The 22,594-nt window shown below is 37.9% G+C and overlaps 1 protein-coding gene across 8 annotated transcripts in view; it reads right to left on the reverse strand.

The window, feature by feature from the left end:
* Positions 1-22,594, reverse strand: part of CTNNA3 (catenin alpha 3) — a 1,851,072-nt gene that overhangs the window by 1,319,076 nt on the left and 509,402 nt on the right. The window lies entirely within an intron of this gene.

The following is a 22,594-nucleotide window of genomic DNA, read 5'->3' on the forward strand; positions in this document are numbered from 1 at the left end:
ACTCTAAAAAGCAGAGCACCTCTCCTCCTCCAAAGGAACACAGTTCCTCACCAGCAACAGAACAAAGCTGGACGGAGAATGAGAGAAGAAGGCTTCAGACGATCAACTTACTCCGAGCTACAGGAGGACATTCAAACCAAAGGCAAAGAAGTTGAAAACTTTGAAAAAAATTTAGAAGAATGTATAACCACAAGAACCAATACAGAGAAGTGCTTAAAGGAGTTGATGGAGCTGAAAACCAAGGCTCAAGAACTACGTGAAGAATGCAGAAGCCTCAGGAGCCGATGCGATCAACTGGAAGAAAGGGTATCAGCAATGGAAGATGAAATGAATGAAATGAAGTGAGAAGGGAAGTTTAGACAAAAAAGAATAAAAAGAAACGAGCAAAGCCTCCAAGAAATATGGGACTATGTGAAAAGACCAAATCTACGTCTGATTGGTGTACCTGAAAGTGACGGGGAGAATGGAACCAAGTTGGAAAACACTCTGCAGGATATTATCCAGGAGAACTTCCCCAATCTAGCAAGGCAGGCCAACATTCAGATTCAGGAAATACAGAGAACGCCACAAAGACACTCCTCGAGAAGAGCAACTCCAAGACACATAATTGTCAGATTCACCAAAGTTAAAATGAAGGAAAAAATGTTAAGGGCAGCCAGAGACAAAGCTTGGGTTACCCTCAAAGGGAAGCCCATCAGACTAACAGCGGATCTCTCAGCAGAAACTCTACAAGCCAGAAGAGAGTGGGGGCCAATATTCAACATTCTTAAAGAAAAGAATTTTCAACCCAGAATTTCATATCCAGCCAAACTAAGCTTCATAAGTGAAGGAGAAATAAAATACTTTACAGAGAAGCAAATCCTGAGAGATTTTGTCACCACCAGACCTGCCCTAAAAGAGCTCCTGAAGGAAGCACTAAACATGGAAGGAACAACTGGTACCAGCCACTGCAAAATCATGCCAAAATGTAAAGACCATCGAGACTAGGAAAAAACTGCATCAACTAACGAGCAAAATAACCAGCTAACATCATAATGACAGGATCAAATTCACACATAACAATATTAACTTTAAATGTAAATGGACTAAATGCTCCAATTAAAAGACACAGACTGGCAAATTGGATAAAGAATCAAGACCCATCAGTGTGCTGTATTCAGGAAACCCATCTCACGTGCAGAGACACACATAGGCTCAAAATAAAGGGATGGAGGAAGATCTACCAAGCAAATGGAAAACAAAAAAAGGCAGGGGTTGCAATCCTAGTCTCTGATAAAACAGACTTTAAACCAACAAAGATCAAAAGAGACAAAGAAGGCCATTACATAACGGTAAAGGGATCAATTCAACAAGAAGAGCTAACTATCCTAAATATATATGCACCCAATACAGGAGCACCCAGATTCGTAAAGCAAGTCCTGAGTGACCTACAAAGAGACTTAGACTCCCACACAATAATAATGCGAGACTTTAACACCCCACTGTCAACATTAGACAGATCAATGAGACAGAAAGTCAACAAAGATATCCAGGAATTGAACTCAGCTCCGCACCAAGCGGACCTAATAGACATCTACAGAACTCTCCACCCCAAATCGACAGAATATACATTTTTTTCAGCACCACACCACACCTATTCCAAAATTGACCACATACTTGGAAGTAAAGCTCTCCTCAGCAAATGTAAAAGAACAGAAATTATAACAAACTATCTCTCAGACCACAGTGCAAGCAAACTAGAACTCAGGATTAAGAATCTCACTCAAAACCACTCAACTACATGGAAACTGAACAACCTGCTCCTGAATGACTACTGGGTACATAACGAAATGAAGGCAGAAATAAAGATGTTCTTTGAAACCAACGAGAACAAAGACACAACATACCAGAATCTCTGGGACACATTCAAAGCAGTGTGTAGAGGGAAATTTATAGCACTAAATGCCCACAAGAGAAAGCAGGAAAGATCCAAAATTGACACCCTAACATCACAATTAAAAGAACTAGAAAAGCAAGAGCAAACACATTCAAAAGCTAGCAGAAGGCAAGAAATAACTAAAATCAGAGCAGAACTGAAGGAAATAGACACACAAAAAACCCTTCAAAAAATTAATGAATCCAGGAGCTGGTTTTTTGAAAGGATCAACAAAATTGATAGACCGCTAGCAAGACTAATAAAGAAAAAAAGAGAGAAGAATCAAATAGATGCAATAAAAAATGATAAAGGGGATATCATCACTGATCCCACAGAAATAGAAACTACCATCAGAGAATACTACAAACACCTCTACGCTAATAAACTAGAAAATCTAGAAGAAACGGATAAATTCCTCGACACATACACCCTCCCAAGACTAAACCAGGAAGAAGTTGAATCTCTGAATAGGACCAATAACAGGAGCTGAAATTGTGGCAATAATCAATAGCTTACCAACCAAAAAGAGTCCAGGACCAGCTGGATTCACAGCCGAATTCTACAAGAGGTACAAGGAGGAACTGGTACCATTCCTTCTGAAACTATTCCAATCAATAGAAAAAGAGGGAATCCTCCCTAACTCATTTTATGAGGCCAGCATCATCCTGATACCAAAGCCGGGCAGAGACACAACCAAAAGAGAGAATTTTAGACCAATATCCTTGATGAACATTGATGCAAAAATCCTGAATAAAATACTGGGAAACCAAATCCAGCAGCACATCAAAAAGCTTATCCACCATGATCAAGTGGGCTTCATCCCTGGGATGCAAAGCTGGTTCAATATACGCAAATCAATAAATGTAATCCAGCATTTAAACAGAAGCAAAGACAAAAACCACATGATTATCTCAACAGATGCAGAAAAGGCCTTTGACAAAATTCAACAACCTTCATGCTAAAAACTCTCAATAAATTAGGTATTGATGGGGCGTATTTCAAAATAATAAGCACTATCTATGACAAACCCACAGCCAATATCATACTGAATGGGCAAAAACTGGAAGCATTCCCTTTGAAAACTGGCACAAGACAGGGATGCCCTCTCTCACCACTCCTATTCAACATAGTGTTGGAAGTTCTGGCCAGGGCAATTAGGCAGGAGAAGGAAATAAAGGGTATTCAATTAAGAAAAGAGGAAGTCAAATTGTCCCTGTTTGCAGATGACATGATTGTATATCTAGAAAACCCCATTGTCTCAGCCCAGAATCTCCTTAAGCTGATAAGCAACTTCAGCAAAATCTCAGGATACAAAATCAATGTACAAAAATCACAAGCATTCTTATACACCAATAACAGACAAACAGAGAGCCAAATCATGAGTGAACTCCCATTCACAATTGCTTCAAAGAGAATAAAATACCTAGGAATCCAACTTACAAGGGATGTGAAGGACCTCTTCAAGGAGAACTACAAACCACTGCTCAATGAAATAAAAGAGGATACAAACAAATGGAAGAACATTCCATGCTCATGGGTAGGAAGAATCAATATCGTGAAAATGGCCATACTGCCCAAGGTAATTTACAGATTCAATGCCATCCCCATCAAGCTACTAATGACTTTCTTCACAGAATTGGAAAAAACTATTTTAAAGTTCAAATGGAACCAAAAAAGAGCCCGCATCGCCAAGGCAATCCTAAGCCAAAAGAACAAAGCTGGAGGCATCACACTACCTGACTTCAAACTATACTACAAGGCTACAGTAACCAAAACAGCATGGTACTGGTACCAAAACAGAGATATAGATCAATGGAACAGAACAGAACCCTCAGAAATAATGCCACATATCTACAACTATCTGATCTTTGACAAACCTGAGAAAAACAAACAATGGGGAAAGTATTCCCTATTTAATAAATGCTGCTGGGAAAACTGGCTAGCCATATGTAGAAAGCTGAAACTGGATCCCTTCCTTACACCTTATACAAAAATCAATTCAAGATGGATTAAAGACTTAAACGTTAGACCTAAAACCATAAAAACCCTAGAAGAAAACCTAGGCATTACCATTCAGGACATAGGCATGGGCAAGGACTTCATGTTTAAAACACCAAAAGCAATGGCAACAAAAGCCAAAATTGACAAATGGGATCTAATTAAACTAAAGAGCTTCTGCACAGCAAAAGAAACTACCATCAGAGTGAACAGGCAACCTACAAAATGGGAGAAAATTTTTGCAATCTACTCATCTGACAAAGGGCTAATATCCAGAATCTACAATGAACTCAAACACATTTACAAGAAAAAAACAACCCCATCAAAAAGTGGGCGAAGGACATGAACAGACTCTTCTCAAAAGAAGACATTTATGCAGCCAAAAAACACATGAAAAAATGCTCACCATCACTGGCCATCAGAGAAATGCAAATCAAAACCACAATGAGATATCATCTCACACCAGTTAGAATGGCAGTCATTAAAAAGTCAGGAAACAACAGGTGCTGGAGAGGATGTGGAGAAATAGGAACACTTTTACACTGTTGGTGGGACTGTAAACTAGTTCAACCATTGTGGAAGTCACTGTGGCGATTCCTCAGGGATCTAGAACTAGAAATACCATTTGACCCAGCCATCCCATTACTGGGTATATACCCAAAGGACTATAAATCATGCTGCTATAAAGACACATGCACAGGTATGTTTATTGCGGCATTATTCACAATAGCAAAGACTTGGAACCAACCCAAATGTCCAACAATGATAGACTGGATTAAGAAAATGTGGCACATATACACCATGGAATACTATGCAGCCATAAAAAATGATGAGTTCATGTCCTTTGTAGGGACATGGATGAAATTGGAAATCATCATTCTCAGCAAACTATCGCAAGAAGAAAAAACAAAACACCGCATATTCTCACTCATAGGTGGGAATTGAACAATGAGAACACATGGACACAGGAAGGGGAACATCACACTCTGGGGACTGTTGTGGGGTGGGGGGGGTGGGGAGGGATAGCATTGGGAGATATACCTAATGCTAGATGACAAGTTAGTGGGTGTGGCGCGCCAACATGGCACATGTATACATATGTAACTAACCTGCACATTGTGCACATGTACCCTAAACCTTAAAGTATAATAATAATAAATAAAAAATAAAAAAATAAAAAAAGAAGATATACAAATGGCCAACAAACATATGAAAAAATGCACATCACTAATGATCAGGGAAATGCAAATCAAAACTACAAGGCAATACCACCTTACTCCTGCAAGAATAGCCATAATCAAAAAATAAATAAAAAACAGTAGATGTTGGCATGGATGCAGTGATCAGGGAACATTTCTACACTGCTGATGGGAATGTAAACTAGTACAGCCACTATGGAAAACAGGGTGGATCTTACTTAAAGAGCTAAAGGTAGAACTACCATTTGATCCAGCAATCCCACTACTAGGTATCTACCCCAGAGGAAAAGAAGTCATTACATGAAAAAGATACTTACACACATATGTTTACAGCAGGACAATTCACAATTGGAAAATTGTGGAACCAACCCAAATGCCCATCAATCAATGAGTGGATAAAGAAACTATGGTGTATGTATATATATATATATATATATATATATATATATATATATATATATATACACACACAATGGAATACTACTCAGTCATAAAAAGAAATGAATTAATAGCATTTGCAGCGACCTGGATGAGATTGGATACTATTATTCTAAGTGAAGTAACTCAGGAATGGAAAACCAAACATCATGTGTTCTCACTGATATGTGGGAGCTAAGCTATGAGGACACAAAGGCATAAGAATGATATAATGGACTTTGGGGACTTGGGGTGGGGAGGTGTGGAATTGGGGGAAGGGATAAAAGACTATAAATATGGCGCAGTGTATACCGCTCAGATGATGGGTGCACCAAAATTTTACAAGTCACCACCAAAGAACTTACTCTAGTAACCAAATACCACCTATTCCCCAATAACTTATGGAAATTTTTTTAAAAAATTAAAATTAAAAAATTCAAACATTGCCTAAGTATAATAGAAAAAAAAAGAAGCTATCCCTATGAGCAATGCAGAACAAAAGAGCATGTGGAAAGGTCTGAAGCATGAAAAGGCGAGGAAGGTGCAGGTCACTGCAGGTGATATGACAAATACAGGAAACCTAAGCATGAATGGTGATGAATCCAGCAGAAAAAGGTAGGCAAGAGACATTTCACGTGCTCTGCTAAAGAACTCTGAAAGCAACAAGCTCAGATGTGTATTTACAAAGATTGCTCTGGCAATGGGTTTTTGAGTGGATTGGAGAGAATGAAATTGCAGTCAGAGAGACCAGGCAATAACCCAGGTCTGGGAAAGAGACAATAAGTGCCTGAACACTATTGCTAGGCTATAGTGGGAGAGATCCAGGAAATTTTTAGGAGGTACAAATGGTAGGATTTTGGTATATCTAGATGGGAGTAGGGAAGAGAAGATATTTGAAAGCATCTAGAGAATTGTTTCAGCAATCGTGGAAGTGGTGATGCATTCACCACAATGAGAATACAGAGAGAAGAATGTACTTGGAAGAAAAAGGTGAACACATTTTGTAATCTGCCAAATGTAATATATCAGCACAAGATCCAAATGAAAATACAATACACATGAATCTAGACTTCAGAGGAGAGTCTGGGCCAGAAATAGAGATATGTGAAACACCAGCTCACAGTTGGGAGCTAAAGCCATGTGTGTGAAGGCTACAGGACCTGCATCCAGGGTGAATATTACAATAAGGAGAAGAATCTAGGAGTCATCGTAAATTGTTCCTTGAGTATATCAACCCAGTAATTTTATGTGCTAGCCCAAAAGGCCAAATATATATTTATATTAGCAAGAAGGGTATCAGCAAATACTAAACTAAAAAAAAAAAAATTCAATTAAAAATATTTTTAAATAGGCCAGAAAACGCATGCAGGCTACAGAGTTAGAATCTAAACTACTGTGGGTAATCATGGTCATCATACCTTAAGATAACAAATGATTTTTCTTTAAAAGCAATTTTGAACAGAATGACTTCTGTTTCTGGAAAGCTTAAAAATATGAGGTCTGTTCACCTTGGAAAGGGGAAATTTTTATTGGAAAACGCATGATAAAAACATCTGTAAATCATGAACGAACTTGATAACTTGTTAATGGGCTTCTTTACTTAAATCTGGAGATACTAGGTCATAGAAGTAGCTTTTTAGATTTGAGTAAAATAAATTATATCTGTTCATACTTCTGTCTTCACTACTTCATTATAATTCTCTTGAATGCAAGTACTATGGCTTACTTATTTTATACCTCATTATCTAGTAGTATACAGCACATATTAGGAGTTTAATACATTTTTGTTAAGGAAACAGACAAATGAATAAGAATTAAGCCAGAGGAAGTCAATATGCTCAAAAGGAGATAGAAACTCCAGATATGATTACTCCAAGAAATAAAACATGGGGAAAATATACCTTAATCCAGAGAGTTTGAATAAATTTATGCATGGCAATGCCACAGAAAGCTGAAGAGCAAAATTAAACTATAACTATCTTCACATTAAATGGTAGTGAGGCCGTTGGTACGACTACTTTGGAAAATGATTTGATAGTATTTACTGAAGCTGAGTATATGCATGCCCTGTTACCCAGCTATTTCATTCCTAGGAGAGGATACACACATATGGAAATATGTTCCTATGTCCATCTAAAGACACAGGCAAAAATGTTCCATACCAGCACTGTCTGTAATAGTCCCGACCTGGACACAACCCAGAGTAATGAAAAAGAAAAAAAGACAGCTACACGTGATAAAAAAAAAAAAAAAGCAAGACATAAAAGAGTATGTATGGTTTAATTCCATCTATGTGAAGTTCATACTCAGGCAAAAGTAACCTATCATTTTAAAAATCAAAATAGTGGTTATTCTTTGGGGGGTGATTAGAGACTAAACAGGGAGGAGGAATCTTTCAGTTTCTGGTAATTTTCTATTTCTTGTCCTGGGTGCTAGTTACACCAATGTGTTTAGTTTGGAAAAATTCATTGAACTGTTTATTTCACACTATGCATTTTTCTGAATGTATGTTATACTTTAATTAAAAAAGCTTCACATAAAATCAAGGAAATGAAAAACAAAAAGTAAAGCCAATATCTACAGTGTGAGCCTTCTTTTGGCAAAGGACACTGGTATAAACTAGCTATGGACTGGCTATGTTGTCATATTACCCATGTCATTAAGGGAAGAATGAGAAAATTAGATATTCTGTCCATCTGTAAGAATCCTGTATCCACTTTGAGGGCTCATATTTTTAAAAAAGAAAAAAAAGTCTGAAATATAAAAATAAGAAGAGAAAGCTCCTGTAGCCTGACCATCAGAAAAAGCAAACCTAAGAGGTTTTCACAGCAACTGATTCCATGAACCGTTGGACAAACCTGCATTTCTGAGAATCAAAGAAAACTTCCTTACGAAGCTACATTCCTGCCCACATGGAATAGCTCAGCATATACTCTGCTCAACAAAGCAGAGCTACATACAAATTACTGAGTTTCTCTTCCAGGTGTTTAAATGAGGTTTCTGAAGCTGACAAAACCACTCTGGTAAGGGAAGGAAAGGGAGCTTATAAAAAGAGGTTTTGTTTGTTTGAGATTAAGATGTGCAGCAGAAAAGCCCATGTATACTTTGCTATTTGGATTCCATTATGGGTTGGCTTCTGTCTCCAGTCTTCTCTCTGCCAAGATGCTGCATACCAATTGCTTCACTGGTCATTGGGCAGCTTCATGTTCTATTAGGAAACAAAATAACACAAACACCTGCTAATTTAATGTTCTTGGCCAACTTAAATTAGGAAATGGAAACTTAGTCTTAACTGAGCTGAAGGATATAAGATGGTGAAACAACAGTAGGCTTCAGGTAAAAGAAAGTTTTGAGAAGAAAAATTAAAATTAAAAAAATGCAAGATTTTACAATAAAAGCATCATTAAGGAGCAGAGAGAGGCCTTTACTACTTTTCTATCCTTATTTCCCATTTGTCATTTCATAGAAATAGGACAGATTCAATAAAAGAGAAAATAAAAGAATTCTTCAAATTCAAATAGGAAACTGAGAAACCATATCATAATAGTATTAAGATATCTCCCAAGGTGTGCATTCTGGGCCATTAATGCATACCTTGGGTAACTGAAATACACCAAGGTGAATATTAACTCCAAAGAAACCTATGAGGAAAACATTATCACTTAATTCTAATGCGGACTACTGTGTCAGTCAAGAAAATGTAGGGGGGTGTGTGTGCACATGTGTGTGTGTGTAAAGTTCAAAAATGCACTATGTTCATTTCCTGTTCATCTGAAGCAAATACAATATGTATTACATTTGTCTATTGTTTGCTTAGAATTTATATCTCAAAATAAATGGTATCTGAAGCCATCTGCCGCATGATTAAAAAGTAAAAGGAATACACAGAAAAACAAAAAAGTTATGGGCTATTTTAGCAAAATTCAGTGGCTGTACTTAATGCATCCTTTCCATTGGTGCATATGTTTCATCATTTAATCTATCAAGAAGAGTCAAATATCCATAGGTCAGGGCCAGGGGTGATGGCTCATGCCTACAATCCCAGCACTTTGGAAGGCCGAGGCAGGTGGATCACCTGAGGTCAGGAGTTCAAGACCAGCCTGGCCAACATGGTGAAACCCCATCTCTACTAAAAAAATACAAAAATTAGTTGGGCATGGTGGTGTGCACCAGTAATCCCAGCTACTCGGGAGGCTGAGGCATAAGAATCACTTGAACCTTGGAGACAGAGGTTGCAGTGAGCCAAGATCATGCCACTGCCCTCTAGCCTAGGTGACAGAGTGAGACTGTTTCAAAAAAAAAAAAATCCATAGGTCAGAAAATTTTTCCTCTAAAGCATAATTAACAATTATAAAAGTAAAGTTGAATTTTTTAATTTAGTCAAAAATCAATAAATATTTTTATCCTTGCAATTCCTTCCTATTTAAGTTTTCTTGTGAGAAACAGACCACTTGTTTCCTGAACATTATGGTGCATCTCAAAGAGCAAACAGAATCACTTAGATCAAATAGGGTCCAAAGCCCAGGGATGTTGACCCAACTTCCTAGTTAATAATTCATTACATTTGTGTAGTGATTTATTCTGTTCAACATATTTCCAGCCATTCTTCCACAAGGAGTTCTATGAGAAATCATAAAAAGCGGTATCCCTTGTTGTCAAAAGAAGAAATGGACATTTGTCAAAAGGCACACACATATTAATAAAAAGTGGTGATGGTGATTTTTTTCAGAAAGCCAACATTTACCAAGCAGCTATGATGCTTCCTATATTCAAGTACTCTCTAATCACTTTCTCATTTAATGGCCCCACTAGGAATAGGATCCAAGACTGGCTCCTGTCTCAACACTCTTTCTACTCGACACTATTTCTATTTGTTGTCAGTAGCTCCCACATCTGCTCTTAAAGCCTGTCAAAAAACTCTCCTTTAACTCTGCCCATCTGCGGTGACCCAATAGAGAATATATATTTCAGGCATATCTTCCTGACAAAGAACTGTTGTAACTAATACAACTAAGTTAGAAACATTTTCCTGAATTCAGTTTTAGAACAAGGCTGATACAAAAACCTCAGGTCAAAACTACAAGATTAAAAATTAAAGTGTGGTCCATAAGGTCATTTAGAATGCTCAAAAATATAAGTCAGATATGTGGAGAAAGAATGAAACTAATAAGTATAATCTTGAATATTTCAATCTAACTTTGATAAAGGAAACATTCTAAATATGGCATATTTGTAGACTAATGGTTGATTTTCCCACAGGAAAAAAGTGTTTTGCTTTTTAGTTTAATTCAAATAGCTTGAAATGCCTGCTATAAGGTGTGACTTTAAAGCTAAGACTACAAACTCAAATGTTTAAGCAGGAAGCGTGAATAGGGCAGATGAAAGTAAATAGGGAGTGGTGAGGCCTTGGCACACTATACTGTATCTGCCCCGATTTAAACACATTCAGATCCAATTGACCAAACCAAAAGAATCCCTGAATCTAATATACTAGCACAGATGTTTCTGTGAGCCTTATTAATTCAGTCACCATGCTGTGCATTCATGCAATATATGTGCCTGACCTTGGAAGACCTCGGAAAGATAGGAAATGCATGTCTCCGGGCCTGATGAGCCTACAATAAGCCAAAAGGACTGAATGAGGAGCAACTCCAAGGCAGGAAGTCTGCCTCATTTTAATGGAAATAGCATAAGCTTTGAGGTTAGAATCCCAGTGCAAAAACACTCCAATAGCAGGAGATTTCAGGCAGAATAATTAACCTCACTTCAGCTACAAAATGTGAACAATTCCTACCTTTTAGGGTATTAATGAAGTTAAATGATTTAATGTCAAAGACTTTTCCAGCATTTTCTTATTTGATGTCTCTCCATGCAACAAACTATTAGCCATATTCCCTCTTTACAATATTTCTCCCCTGTTTTCTTAGATGACAGCAACCTAAATTTAAACTGAGAGGTGTTTACCTCTCCTCTAAGTTCCAGCTGCATATCTCAAGTTGAGTCTCAAACATGTCCGAAGTTGAGCCCATTGTGTTTCCTACACTCCCACTCCCCATGTTTCTCTCCAGCATTCCATCTGCATGGCCCTAATATTCAGCTGATCAAAAAGAAACGTGAGGAATATCCGTGACTTTTCCAACCCCCCCAACCCCCACCATTAGGTAAGGTCTATTATTACACTCATTAACTATTTCTCCAATATACACCCTTGCTCTGTTCCTCACTAGTAGCACTAGTCTAGAGGAGAAATAATTAGGGATAAAATTAAGGAAGTGCACGTGAACACAAGGGAGATGAGAGACTACAGAAATATTTAGTAAGACAGAACTTTTTGACCAATCTTTTCTCTGTCATACCATCAGAGGAAACTCTTTAAAACTTAAATCTGGTCATCACTCCTCCAATGTAAAATTTTCTAATGATGGTTAATCCACAAATAAGAAAACTCATATTTTTTGTTATAGACAAGCATGCTTCTCTGGCTTCTCTCTCTAGTCTTACTTCCTACTACTCCTGTCACGGTCACTCTTTTCTCCAGATACATAGAATCCATGAGGTTCCACTGGTGCCTTTGCATGAGCTATGTTCCAGTCTCCCCTGCACCTCCTAGGAAATGACTATTCATCTTTTAAGTCATCGTGGATTCTTACATTCTATCACACACAGACTTCACTCATGTGCCCCCTTTATATGGCACTAGTCTAGCAGATATTTTAAACTATTACTCTTTGCTGTAACTATTTGTTGACACGTCTGTGTCTCTCACCAAATCATGAGTTCCTCCTGAGGCCAAAATGATGTCTTCATTCCTCCATCCACTAGGCCTTGCATAGGAACTAGCTGAGAGTAACCAATGAATTGATAACACCTCTCACCACTTTAAAGTAATGAGAAAACCTTGAGGGTCACTGCCATAAAATAATTTACTTTTCCATGAAATAAAAATTGCACTTTTGTAAAAGGAAATCACAACTGCAAAAAAGCTCAGATATGCTCAGTCTAGAATGGAAATGTTTTTTAATCTTCCCTGACTAGGCTAAGTAGATTTGTTTATGAACTAGTCTTCAAAGTTTTCTGGTCTAAGCCTCTTTTAAAAAACCAGTGATGATGGTTTTTAATCACTTATAAGAAGGTGTGTCTTTCAGAACCTATTGCTTTGACTCTCAGGATGTTCTAAAATATACCTAATTTCTAACACATTCCCCAACAGAAACAAGACTGAGAAGAATGCAGATAAAGATGTCTCACACTTGACATGCTTTTCAGAAAGTTAAATTAGTGCTCCCTATGTTAACCAATAACTAGATTCATCTGATCGAGGAAAACAGAGGTAACTTAGGTTGATAATCTTGCTAAATTTCAGGTATTCTGAAAAACTGATTTCAACAAGTATTTATATAGTGGAATTGTGCTTAGAGCTGTGAGAAAATAGAAATACCAAGTAAAATCAAGTACCCAGCTCTGCAGTCCTCTGTTCTTCAGAAATTGTTAGATAATGATATGCTAAAATAATAAATTTGGCTAAAATTAGTGAAATAGATAATAATTACCATAGGAATTATAAGGAAAGCATGAAAAGCTTAAGAAATGCTTCAGAGAGAGGAAGATGCACATTTCTAAATGTACCACGTAAAAGCTAGTCCAGAAAACCGGTATGAAAGTCAGTTGGCTTGCTAGTAGGCATCTCAGACATTCTGTATCAAAATTTGAGCTCCTGATAGTGCCCCTCAGCCCACTATTCTTACGGTATTTAACAGTTCAGTTAACAGCAATTCTTCTAATTGCCAGTGCCAAACACTTTGTTGTCATCTTTAAGCTTCTCCCCTTCTCTCATATCCCACATCCAGTCTGTCAGAAAATCCCATCAGTTTTACCTTCATTTATGAAAAATGTGACCTCTTATTACCTCTACAACTTACCATGTCACTGCTTGGCTCAGACCATCCTATGTATCTCTGTGACCCCACTCCCAGTACTCTCCTTGCTTACCCTGACCAGCTCCATGGACCTCCTTGCTGCTTATCCAAGAAGCCAGGCACATCCCTACATTAGGCCTTCCCACGGCCGGCATGCTCTTCTAGATCCATGACTCCCTAACTTCTTTCAAGTCTTTCCTCAAAAATAAACTTTTCAGTGAGACCTCCCCTGGTCACCCTGTCTAAAAGTTCAATCAACAATTCCAACCTCAATATGCCATATTTCCCTTCCTTGCTTTATTTTCTCTGTACTATTTGTCACTAATATATACTACATTTATTTATCATGTTTGTTTTCTGTCTTCTCCAGTGGAACGTAAGCTCCATGAAGGTACATAAGAGGTGATAAATATTTACTTCATGAATGAATGAACAGCAACCCAAATCAAGAATTTTCAATTAATTTGACATATTTTACTGATCACACATGCAAAAAGTTATCCTATCATATGGCAATAAAATACCAGAGAATTGGCCAGGTGCTAGTGGCTCACGCCTGTAATCCCAGTGCTTTGGGAGGCCGAGGCGGGCGGATCACGAAGTCAAGAGATTGAGACCATCCTGGCCAACATTGTGAAACCCCGTCTCTACTAAAAATACAAAAATTAGCTGGGCATGGTGGCATGTACCTGTAGTCCCAGCTACTCAAGAGGCTGAGGCAGAATTTCTTGAACCTGGGAAGTGGAGGTTGCAGTGAGCCGAGATTGCACCACTGCACTCCAGCCTGGGTGACAGTGCGAGACTCTGTCTCCAAAAAAAAAAAAAAAAAAACCAGAGAATTATCTAGTTACAACAGGGAAGACAGATAAAGGGCATACAAATAGCATAAACTTCCTGCTCCCTTTTGGCTCTCATTCTAGAGGCAAATATTAGAACATTCACCTGCATATCTTAGGATTTGGTTTTGTATTCTACTTAGGTCATCTTTCATGTTTGCGAGAATTCATATAGAAAGCTTCTGAACCCAAAACACAATGGCTGCTGTTGAAAGGTCAACTGCGTATGACTGCCAATTAGATGGCAAGTTGTATTTAAAATCCAGATCCCTAATTAATAACGATTTTGCCTTACTCAAGAACTGTACGCAGAGCATGAATCATCTATATGCAGAGTATTCACTGTTTAGTTGTTGCCAATTTAAATATTCATGTCTCTAGGAATGGCTTCAATCCACCCTGGTGCATAAAATAAATTAGCATTCTTGCACTCTAGAGAGAAGTATGTGTTTAGCACCAAATGGAATCAGCAGATGACTAAATACTCTTTTTTTCCTCTCTTGTTTCTATCATAAATACAACAGATGCAAGATGCTGGAATGTGGACAACCCCAGAAGGTTGGTGTTTGCCTCTAATGCAGAAATAAACCATTCAAAAATTCATTCCATATAGCATACCAGAGTTAGCAAGAGCCCTTGGGTTCCTTTATTGCCATCAAGTTGACTTTATGACTAAACATATCACAGCGACCCCCATAGTACAAATGAAGCATAAGGCTACCTTTGCTACTAAACATCACGGAATATCTTATAAATTTACAGCAATGATAACTGATTCAGAGTTACTACAGTTCAACAGTAAATTTTGAGCATTACCCAAATTCATGGGACACTTAAAGGTATGAGACATGGATCTTTAAATGATAAGTTACTGGAGTACAACTGTTCCTATATTAAATAGGGAAAAATTCCTTTCTAGGAAGACTCAGCTCTCTTCAATCACACCTCTTTTACAAGCAGAATGCGCAAGGAAAATGGCAGGACCTCAACAGTTGTCTAATTGTCCGGCTTATGTTCCTCAAGGTTCTCTAGCTTTTGCTATCTCAATGTGAGTGGTACTTTCATTCTCATTTTTATTCACTATTTGATGTGTAAGGAATGCATACTCAGAGACAGTCAATTTCAGTAAAAAATACATAAATAAATCTTCAACCACAGCTAAAATCATAATTAATAGTGAAAAACTGAATGCCTTCCTCCTTAAAATAAAAAACTAAACAAGGATGTCCCCTTTCACTAGTTCTATCCAACATTGCACTAGTTCTAGTCAAATAATTTAAGAAAGCCAAAGAAATAAAAGGCATACAGATTAGAAAAGGAGAAATAAAACTACCTCTCTTTGCAGATGCCATAATCTTATGTGTTAAAAATCCTAAGGAGTACACTCCCCGCTGAAAACAGTAGAGCTAATAAATAAGATTGATACAGTTCGCAAAAGGCAAGATCAATAGGCAAAAATCAGTTGTACTTATAGACACTTGCTGTGAAAAATCTCAAACTGAAATTAAGAAAACAATTCCACTTAAAATAGCATCAAAACATAAAAAACTTAGTAAAAAAATTTAACAAGAGAAATACAAGATGAGTATATTGAAAACTACAAAACATCATTGAAATGAATTAGGCAAGACATAAATAAATTTAAAGACGTTCCATGTCATGGATTAGAAAACAGTATTTTTATGATGACATTATTCCCCAATTTGAACTATAAATTTAATGTAATTTCTATCAAAATTCCAACTGTGTTTTTGCAGATCCTAAATGCAAAAATGAATTTTGTAATCCTAAAATTCATATGAAAATGTAAGGGACTCAGAATAGCCAAAATTATCTTGAAACAAAGAGCAATGTTGGAAGAATTCCCCTCATTTGATCATTACACATTATATGCTTGTATCAAAATACCACCTGAACCCCAAAAATATGTACAACTATTATACAAACATATCAATTAAACATTAATAATTCTTTTAAAAAGAATTCCCAGTTTCAAAACCTACTACAAAACTATAAGACAGTGTGTTACAATCATAAAGACAGACATATAGATCAATGTAATAGACATCAGAGTCCAAAATTAAATATTTCTATTTATTGTCAATTGATTTTCAACAAGGGTATCATGACAATTCAATACAGAAAGGATACTCTTTTCAGGCCTCGTGCAGTGGCTCACGCCTGTAATCCCAACACTTTGGGAAGCTCACGGCAGGTGGATCACTTGAGTCCAGGAGTTCAAAACCAGCCTGGGCAACATGGCAAAACCGTATCTTAATTAAAAATACAAAGATTAGCTGGGTGTGGTGGCACGTGCCTGTAGTCCTAACTACTTGGGGATGAAGGTGGGTGTGGTATGCGGCAGGAGGACCACCTAAGCTTCTGGGTGTTGAAACTGCAGTGAGCCCTGATTGTGTCACTGCACTCCAGCATAGGCAAGAGTGAGACCCTGTGTCAAAGAAAAAAAGAACAATCTTTTCAACAAATGGTGCTAGGGCAACTGGATTCTTTTTTCGTGTTTTTTGTTTTTGTTTTTGTTTTGTTTGTTTGTTTTGAGACAGGATCTCGCTTAGTCACTAGGCTGGAGTGCAGGTGGCACAATTTTGGCTCACTGTAGCCTGGACCTCCTGGGCTCAGGTGATTCTCCCACCTCAGCCCCCCAAAGAGCTGGGACTACAGGCATACACCACCACACTTGGCTGGTTTTTGCTTTTGTTTTTATTTTGGTAGAGAGACGGGGTTTCACCATGCTTCCTAGGCTGGTCGCAAACTCCTGGGCTCAAGCGATCTGCCAGCCTCAGCCTCCTGAAAGTGCTGGAATTACAGGCATGAGCCACCACACCTGAGCAACAATTGGATATATACATGCAAAAGAAAAAAGCTGGACTCCTACCTCACACCATACAGAAAATTAACAAAATGGATCACAGACCATTTATGCCTGTCTCAACCTATTTATGCCTAGTGTTCCATTATTGGAATGCTAAGGATGTGGGAGTTATTTATATCCTACTGCTCAAGGTCATTGCCAAGGTCTGATTGCAAAAATTCAAAAAATTGCAACCTCAGGCATAAATGGGTTTTAATATAAGAGCTAAAACTATAAAACACTTAGAAGAAAACATAGGAGTAAATCTTTGTGATTTTGGTTTAGATGGCAATTTATTAGATATGACAACAAAAGCACAAACAGCAAAAGAAAAGATAGATAAATCACATTTCATGAAAACTAAAAAATTTTGCTTATCAAAGAGTACTATAAAGTAAAAAGACAATATACAGAATAATAGAAAATTTTTGCAAATTATATATATGATGTGTCATATATCTGGAATATATAAAGAGCTATAAAAACTCAATAATAAAACAATTACTCATTAAAAAATGGGCAAAGAGTCTGCATAGACATTACTCCAAAGACAATACAGTCATCCCACAGTACCACAGGGTGTTGGTTCCAGGACCCTCATGGAAACCAAAATCTATGATCTTCAAGTTCTTAACATAAAATGGCATAATATTTACATACATCACATCCTATCATACGCTTTAAATCATCTCTAGATTATAGTAAATCCTCATTTAACATTTTTGATTGGTTCTTGGGAACTGTGACTTTAAGCAAAACAATGTAACAAAATCAATTTACTATAGGCTAATTGATATAAACAAGGGTTAACTTTCTACCGTATGTATTACCGAGCTTGTAAATAAAGACCAAAACATTTCTAATATTAAACATTGAAATAAATGTGAGCCACACATACATTTAAGAAAGACTAAGGTAAGTATTTACCCAATTATTATCATTAAAGGTGGCAGGTGACAGAGCCTATCATGGCAGCTCCAGGTGCAAGGCAGGAACCAACCCTGGACAGGATACCATTCCATTGTACACAGGGCTCAGTCACACACATACCCACACTCATTCATACTGTGACAATTTAGATTCACCAGTTTACCTAACATGCACATCTTTAGGATGTGGGAGAAAACTGGAGACCCAGAAAAAACCCACACAGACATGGGTAGAACACGCATACTTCACACAGTTAGTGGTCCCAGCTAGGTACCAACATTGGATGAAACAACATTATTGGAGGACCTGCTGTACTTACAATACTTAATACAGTGTAAATGCCATGTAAATAGTTGTTATACTGTATTTTTAATTTGTATTATCTCTATTGTTGCATTTTTATTTTTTATTCAGATTCAGTTGACCCTTGAACAGCATGGGTTTGAGCTGCACAGGTCCACTTACACAGATTTTTTTCAACCAAACATGGATCCAAAAGACAGGATTTGTGGGATATGAAATCTAAGTATACAGAGGGCCAACTTTTTTTTTTTTGAGATGGAGTCTCACTCTGTCACCCAGGCTGGAGGGCAGTGGCACGGTCTCAGCTCACTGCCACCTCCACCTCCCAGGTTCACGTCATTCTCCTGCCTCAGCCTCCTGAGTAGCTGGGACTACAGGTGCCTGCCACCACGTCTGGCTAATTTTTTGTATTTTTAGTAGAAATGGGGTTTCACTGTGTTAGCCAGGATGGTCTCAATCTCTTGACCTCATGATCTGCTCACCTCGGCCTCCCAAAGTGCTGGGATTACAGGCATGAGCCACCGCGCCCGGCCACAGAGGGCCAACTTTTTATACACATGGGTTCCGCAGGGCAGATTTCAAGACTCGAGTACCTGGGTATACCTGAGGGTCCTGGAACTCATCCCTCATGTATACAGAGGGATGCCTGTATATTTCAGCCACTGTTGGTTGAATCTGTGAATGTGGAACCAGCGCATATGGAGGGCCATCTCTATACAAATAGATCACATATGCATGAAAGATATTCAACATAGTAGCCATCAGAGAAATGCAAATAAAACCACAGTGAGTTATCACTTCACGCCCACTAAGATGGCTATGATAAAAATGCCCATAATCAATAACACTTGTTGGCAAGGATGTGGAGGAAATAAAACTTTCACTCATTTCTAGGCTGACTGTAAAATGGTACAGCCACTTTGGAAAATAGCCTGGCAGTTCCTCAAAATGTTAGTCATACATAGAATTATCATACCACCCAGTAATTCCTCTCTTCAGTATGAAATCAAGAGAAATGAAAACATATGTCCACATAAAAACTTGTACATGAATGTTTATGGCAGCATTCTTCATAATAACCAAAAAGTAGAAACAACCTCAATGTCCATCAACTGATGAACAGGTAAGCAAAATAGAGTATATCCACAAAACAAAATATTATTTGTCAATGAAAGGGGATATAGTACTGATACATGCAACAACGTGGATGAATCTTGAAAACATTATGCTAAGTAAAAGAAGCCAATCACAAAAGGCCACATGGTATGAGTTAGTTTCTATGAAATGTCTCTAGAATAGGCAAATCTATAGAGACAAAAAGCAGATTAGTGGTTATCTGGGGGTTGGGGGCAGGAGTGACTGCTAATGGGTACAGGGTTGCTTTTGGAGGTAAGGAAAATGCTCTAAAATTAGGTTATATATTGATTGTCATACATCTCTGTAACTATACTAAAAACTATTGAATTGTATAATTTAAATAGGGAATGTTATGATATGTGAATTATGCCTTAATAGAGTGGTTAGAAATAAAGACAAAGACATACCCATACATATGTCATCAGAAAGAGGAGTGAAGAGGCAGCCTGTCCTAATAGTAAAACTCAGACTTGAAGGATGCTAATACTTTGGCAGCTCAGAACCAATGAGGAAGAAGAGGAAGTCAAGATCAAGGGACGGGGGTTGGAAAACTGCTGGTTTAAAGCACTTAAAGAGGCCAGGTCACGTTTGTCAACAGAAAATAATCTCAATATAAATTACAGATAGAGCCCCTTCTAGAATTTGCCATCGTATGGTCAGGTCACAACAGTAAGGAATTCAAGATTTGAGGAAGAGAGGGAGGGGCAGTATTAACGTAAACACAGAGAGACATGGTATCCAGCATCAGGAAACTATTTTCCACAAGATCATCACTAGTGGCCTCAGATGTTTAGAAAGAGAATCAAGACCTGAGGAGGTGGTGGCTCACACCTGTAATCCCAGCACTTTGGGAGGCCAAGGCAGGTGAATCACTTGAGGTCAGGTGTTTGAGACCAGCCTGGCCAACACGGTGAAACTCTGTCTCTACCAAGAAACACAAAAATTAACCGGGCATGGTGGTGTGTGCCCGAAGTCCCAGCTACTTGGGAGGCTGAGGTGGGAGAATCGTTTGAACCCAGGAGGTGGAGGTTGCAGTGAGCAGAGATTGTGCCACTGCCCTCTAACTTGGGCAACAGAGCAACAGAGTGAAACACTGTCTCAAAAAAAAAAAAAAAAAAGACCTAAGGACTAAGGAGTAAGGTAGCTATTACGTGGAGAATTAGAAGCTCATCTACTGTCTGAGGTTGAAGGAGGCAGTACAGTCATCCCCCTTATCTGCAAAAGATATGCTCCAAGACCCTCAGTGGATGCCTAAAACCCTGGATAATAACAAACCCTATATGTACTGTTTTTTCCTATACATACATACCTATGATAAATTTTAATTTATAAATTAGGCACAGTAGAAATCAGCAACAATAACTAATAACAAAATAGAACAAGTATAACAATGCACTGTAATAAAACTTATGTGAATGTGTTCTCTAACTCTTTCTGTCTCAAAATACCTTATCATACTGTACTCACCCTTCTTCTTGTAATGATTTGAGTTTATACGATGCCCACAGGATGACATGAAGTGAGGTGAATTACATAGGCATTGTGACATACCGTTAGGCTACTATTGCCGTGTATTCCTGAATCATGTGTAACCATCCCTTACTTGAAATAAATGGCTTGGTGTCACTTGTTTCAGGAGACTCCTTGCTGAAATTCTCAAATAAACTCAATGTTTTCTGGTGCAACATGCTGTCAATCAGAACACATTTTCTGTTTATGTCTTTCACCAACAAATTTAATGCATTTTCCATCTAATTAATCACTTATTATGCACTGTATCTGTAAAGTTTGCAGTTTGAGGTATGACAACCAAACTAGAATTTCTTTCTCCTTCTTCACAATTTAATGGATAGAAGATTCATTCTTACCATAGAGCAACCTCAGCATACAATTATTTTTTTCCTTACTAATTCAAGAAATTTCAATTTTGCACTTAAAGGAATAACTTTATGGGTTCTCTTTGGCATATCCCAACCACCAGCATCACTACTCTTGTGCTTTGGGGCCATGTTAAGCAAAATAAGGATTACTTACACACAAATGCTGCAATACTGTGATAGTCAACCTGATAACCGAGAGGGCTACTAAGTGACTAACGGGCAAGTAGTATACAGCATAGATGTGCTAGAGGAAAAGATCATTCACATCTCAGCAGGACTGAGCAAGAGAGCACAAGATTTCAAAATGTTATGCAGAACAATGTTTAATTCAAAACTCACAAATTATTTATTTCTAGATTTTTCATTTAATATTTTCAGATCACAGTTGACTGTGGGTAACTGAAACCTCAGATAAAGGGAAATTACTATATTTTTAGACCATGCAAGTAGAAAGATACAAGGAAAATGTGGAGAGTTAAATAGGGCTACAAGGGGTTAATCTATAGTTCAAAGACTAGGATGTGGGAGATGAGCGAGATGATTTAAATGTTCTCTCTCTCTCTTTCCCTCTCCTACACTTAAGTCAAGTCCTGGGAATGGCATAAGTATATAATGGAGGCCATCAGGGGATTCAACTGTTGGGAGTAGAGAATGCAGAGTCAGGAGGTAACCGGCAATGCCAATACCATGGGAGATTGTAGCTGTTCCCTGCAGTTTCCTCCAATGCAGCAACACCAAAGGAAATCATAAATGAAAAACGATGGTGATGATGAACCATGACTGGCAGAACAAAGCACAATACCAAGGCCAAATTCTGGGTTTTATGGGCCCAGGAGGCCCAGAAGGTAATGCAATATGAGGGCCACTCAAATACCCATAGTTCCTTCCTGACTGGCTATTCAGACTCAGGATCCAGTATACCAGGAATGAACTACGAAAAATATGTACTGTGTGTCCACTATATAAACGGCAGTATTCTAGGTGCTTTCCCTTCCTTCTATGATTCATGCATAGAGAGAGAGATTATTTAAACTGCAATACAGTTTTCCTTTCTTACCAATTTATTTTCAACTATATGCTCTAAATATTTACAAGTTCCTCTGTTGTCCTTTTCAGGATTTACCATCTTGCTACCTTTCATATGGAAAATACTGGCAGAAAAAAGAAGACATTCAAAGTTGGGCTCATAAAAGA

Source organism: Homo sapiens, chromosome 10, assembly GCF_000001405.40.
Source record: "Homo sapiens chromosome 10, GRCh38.p14 Primary Assembly".
Classification (NCBI taxonomy): Eukaryota; Metazoa; Chordata; class Mammalia; order Primates; family Hominidae; genus Homo; species Homo sapiens.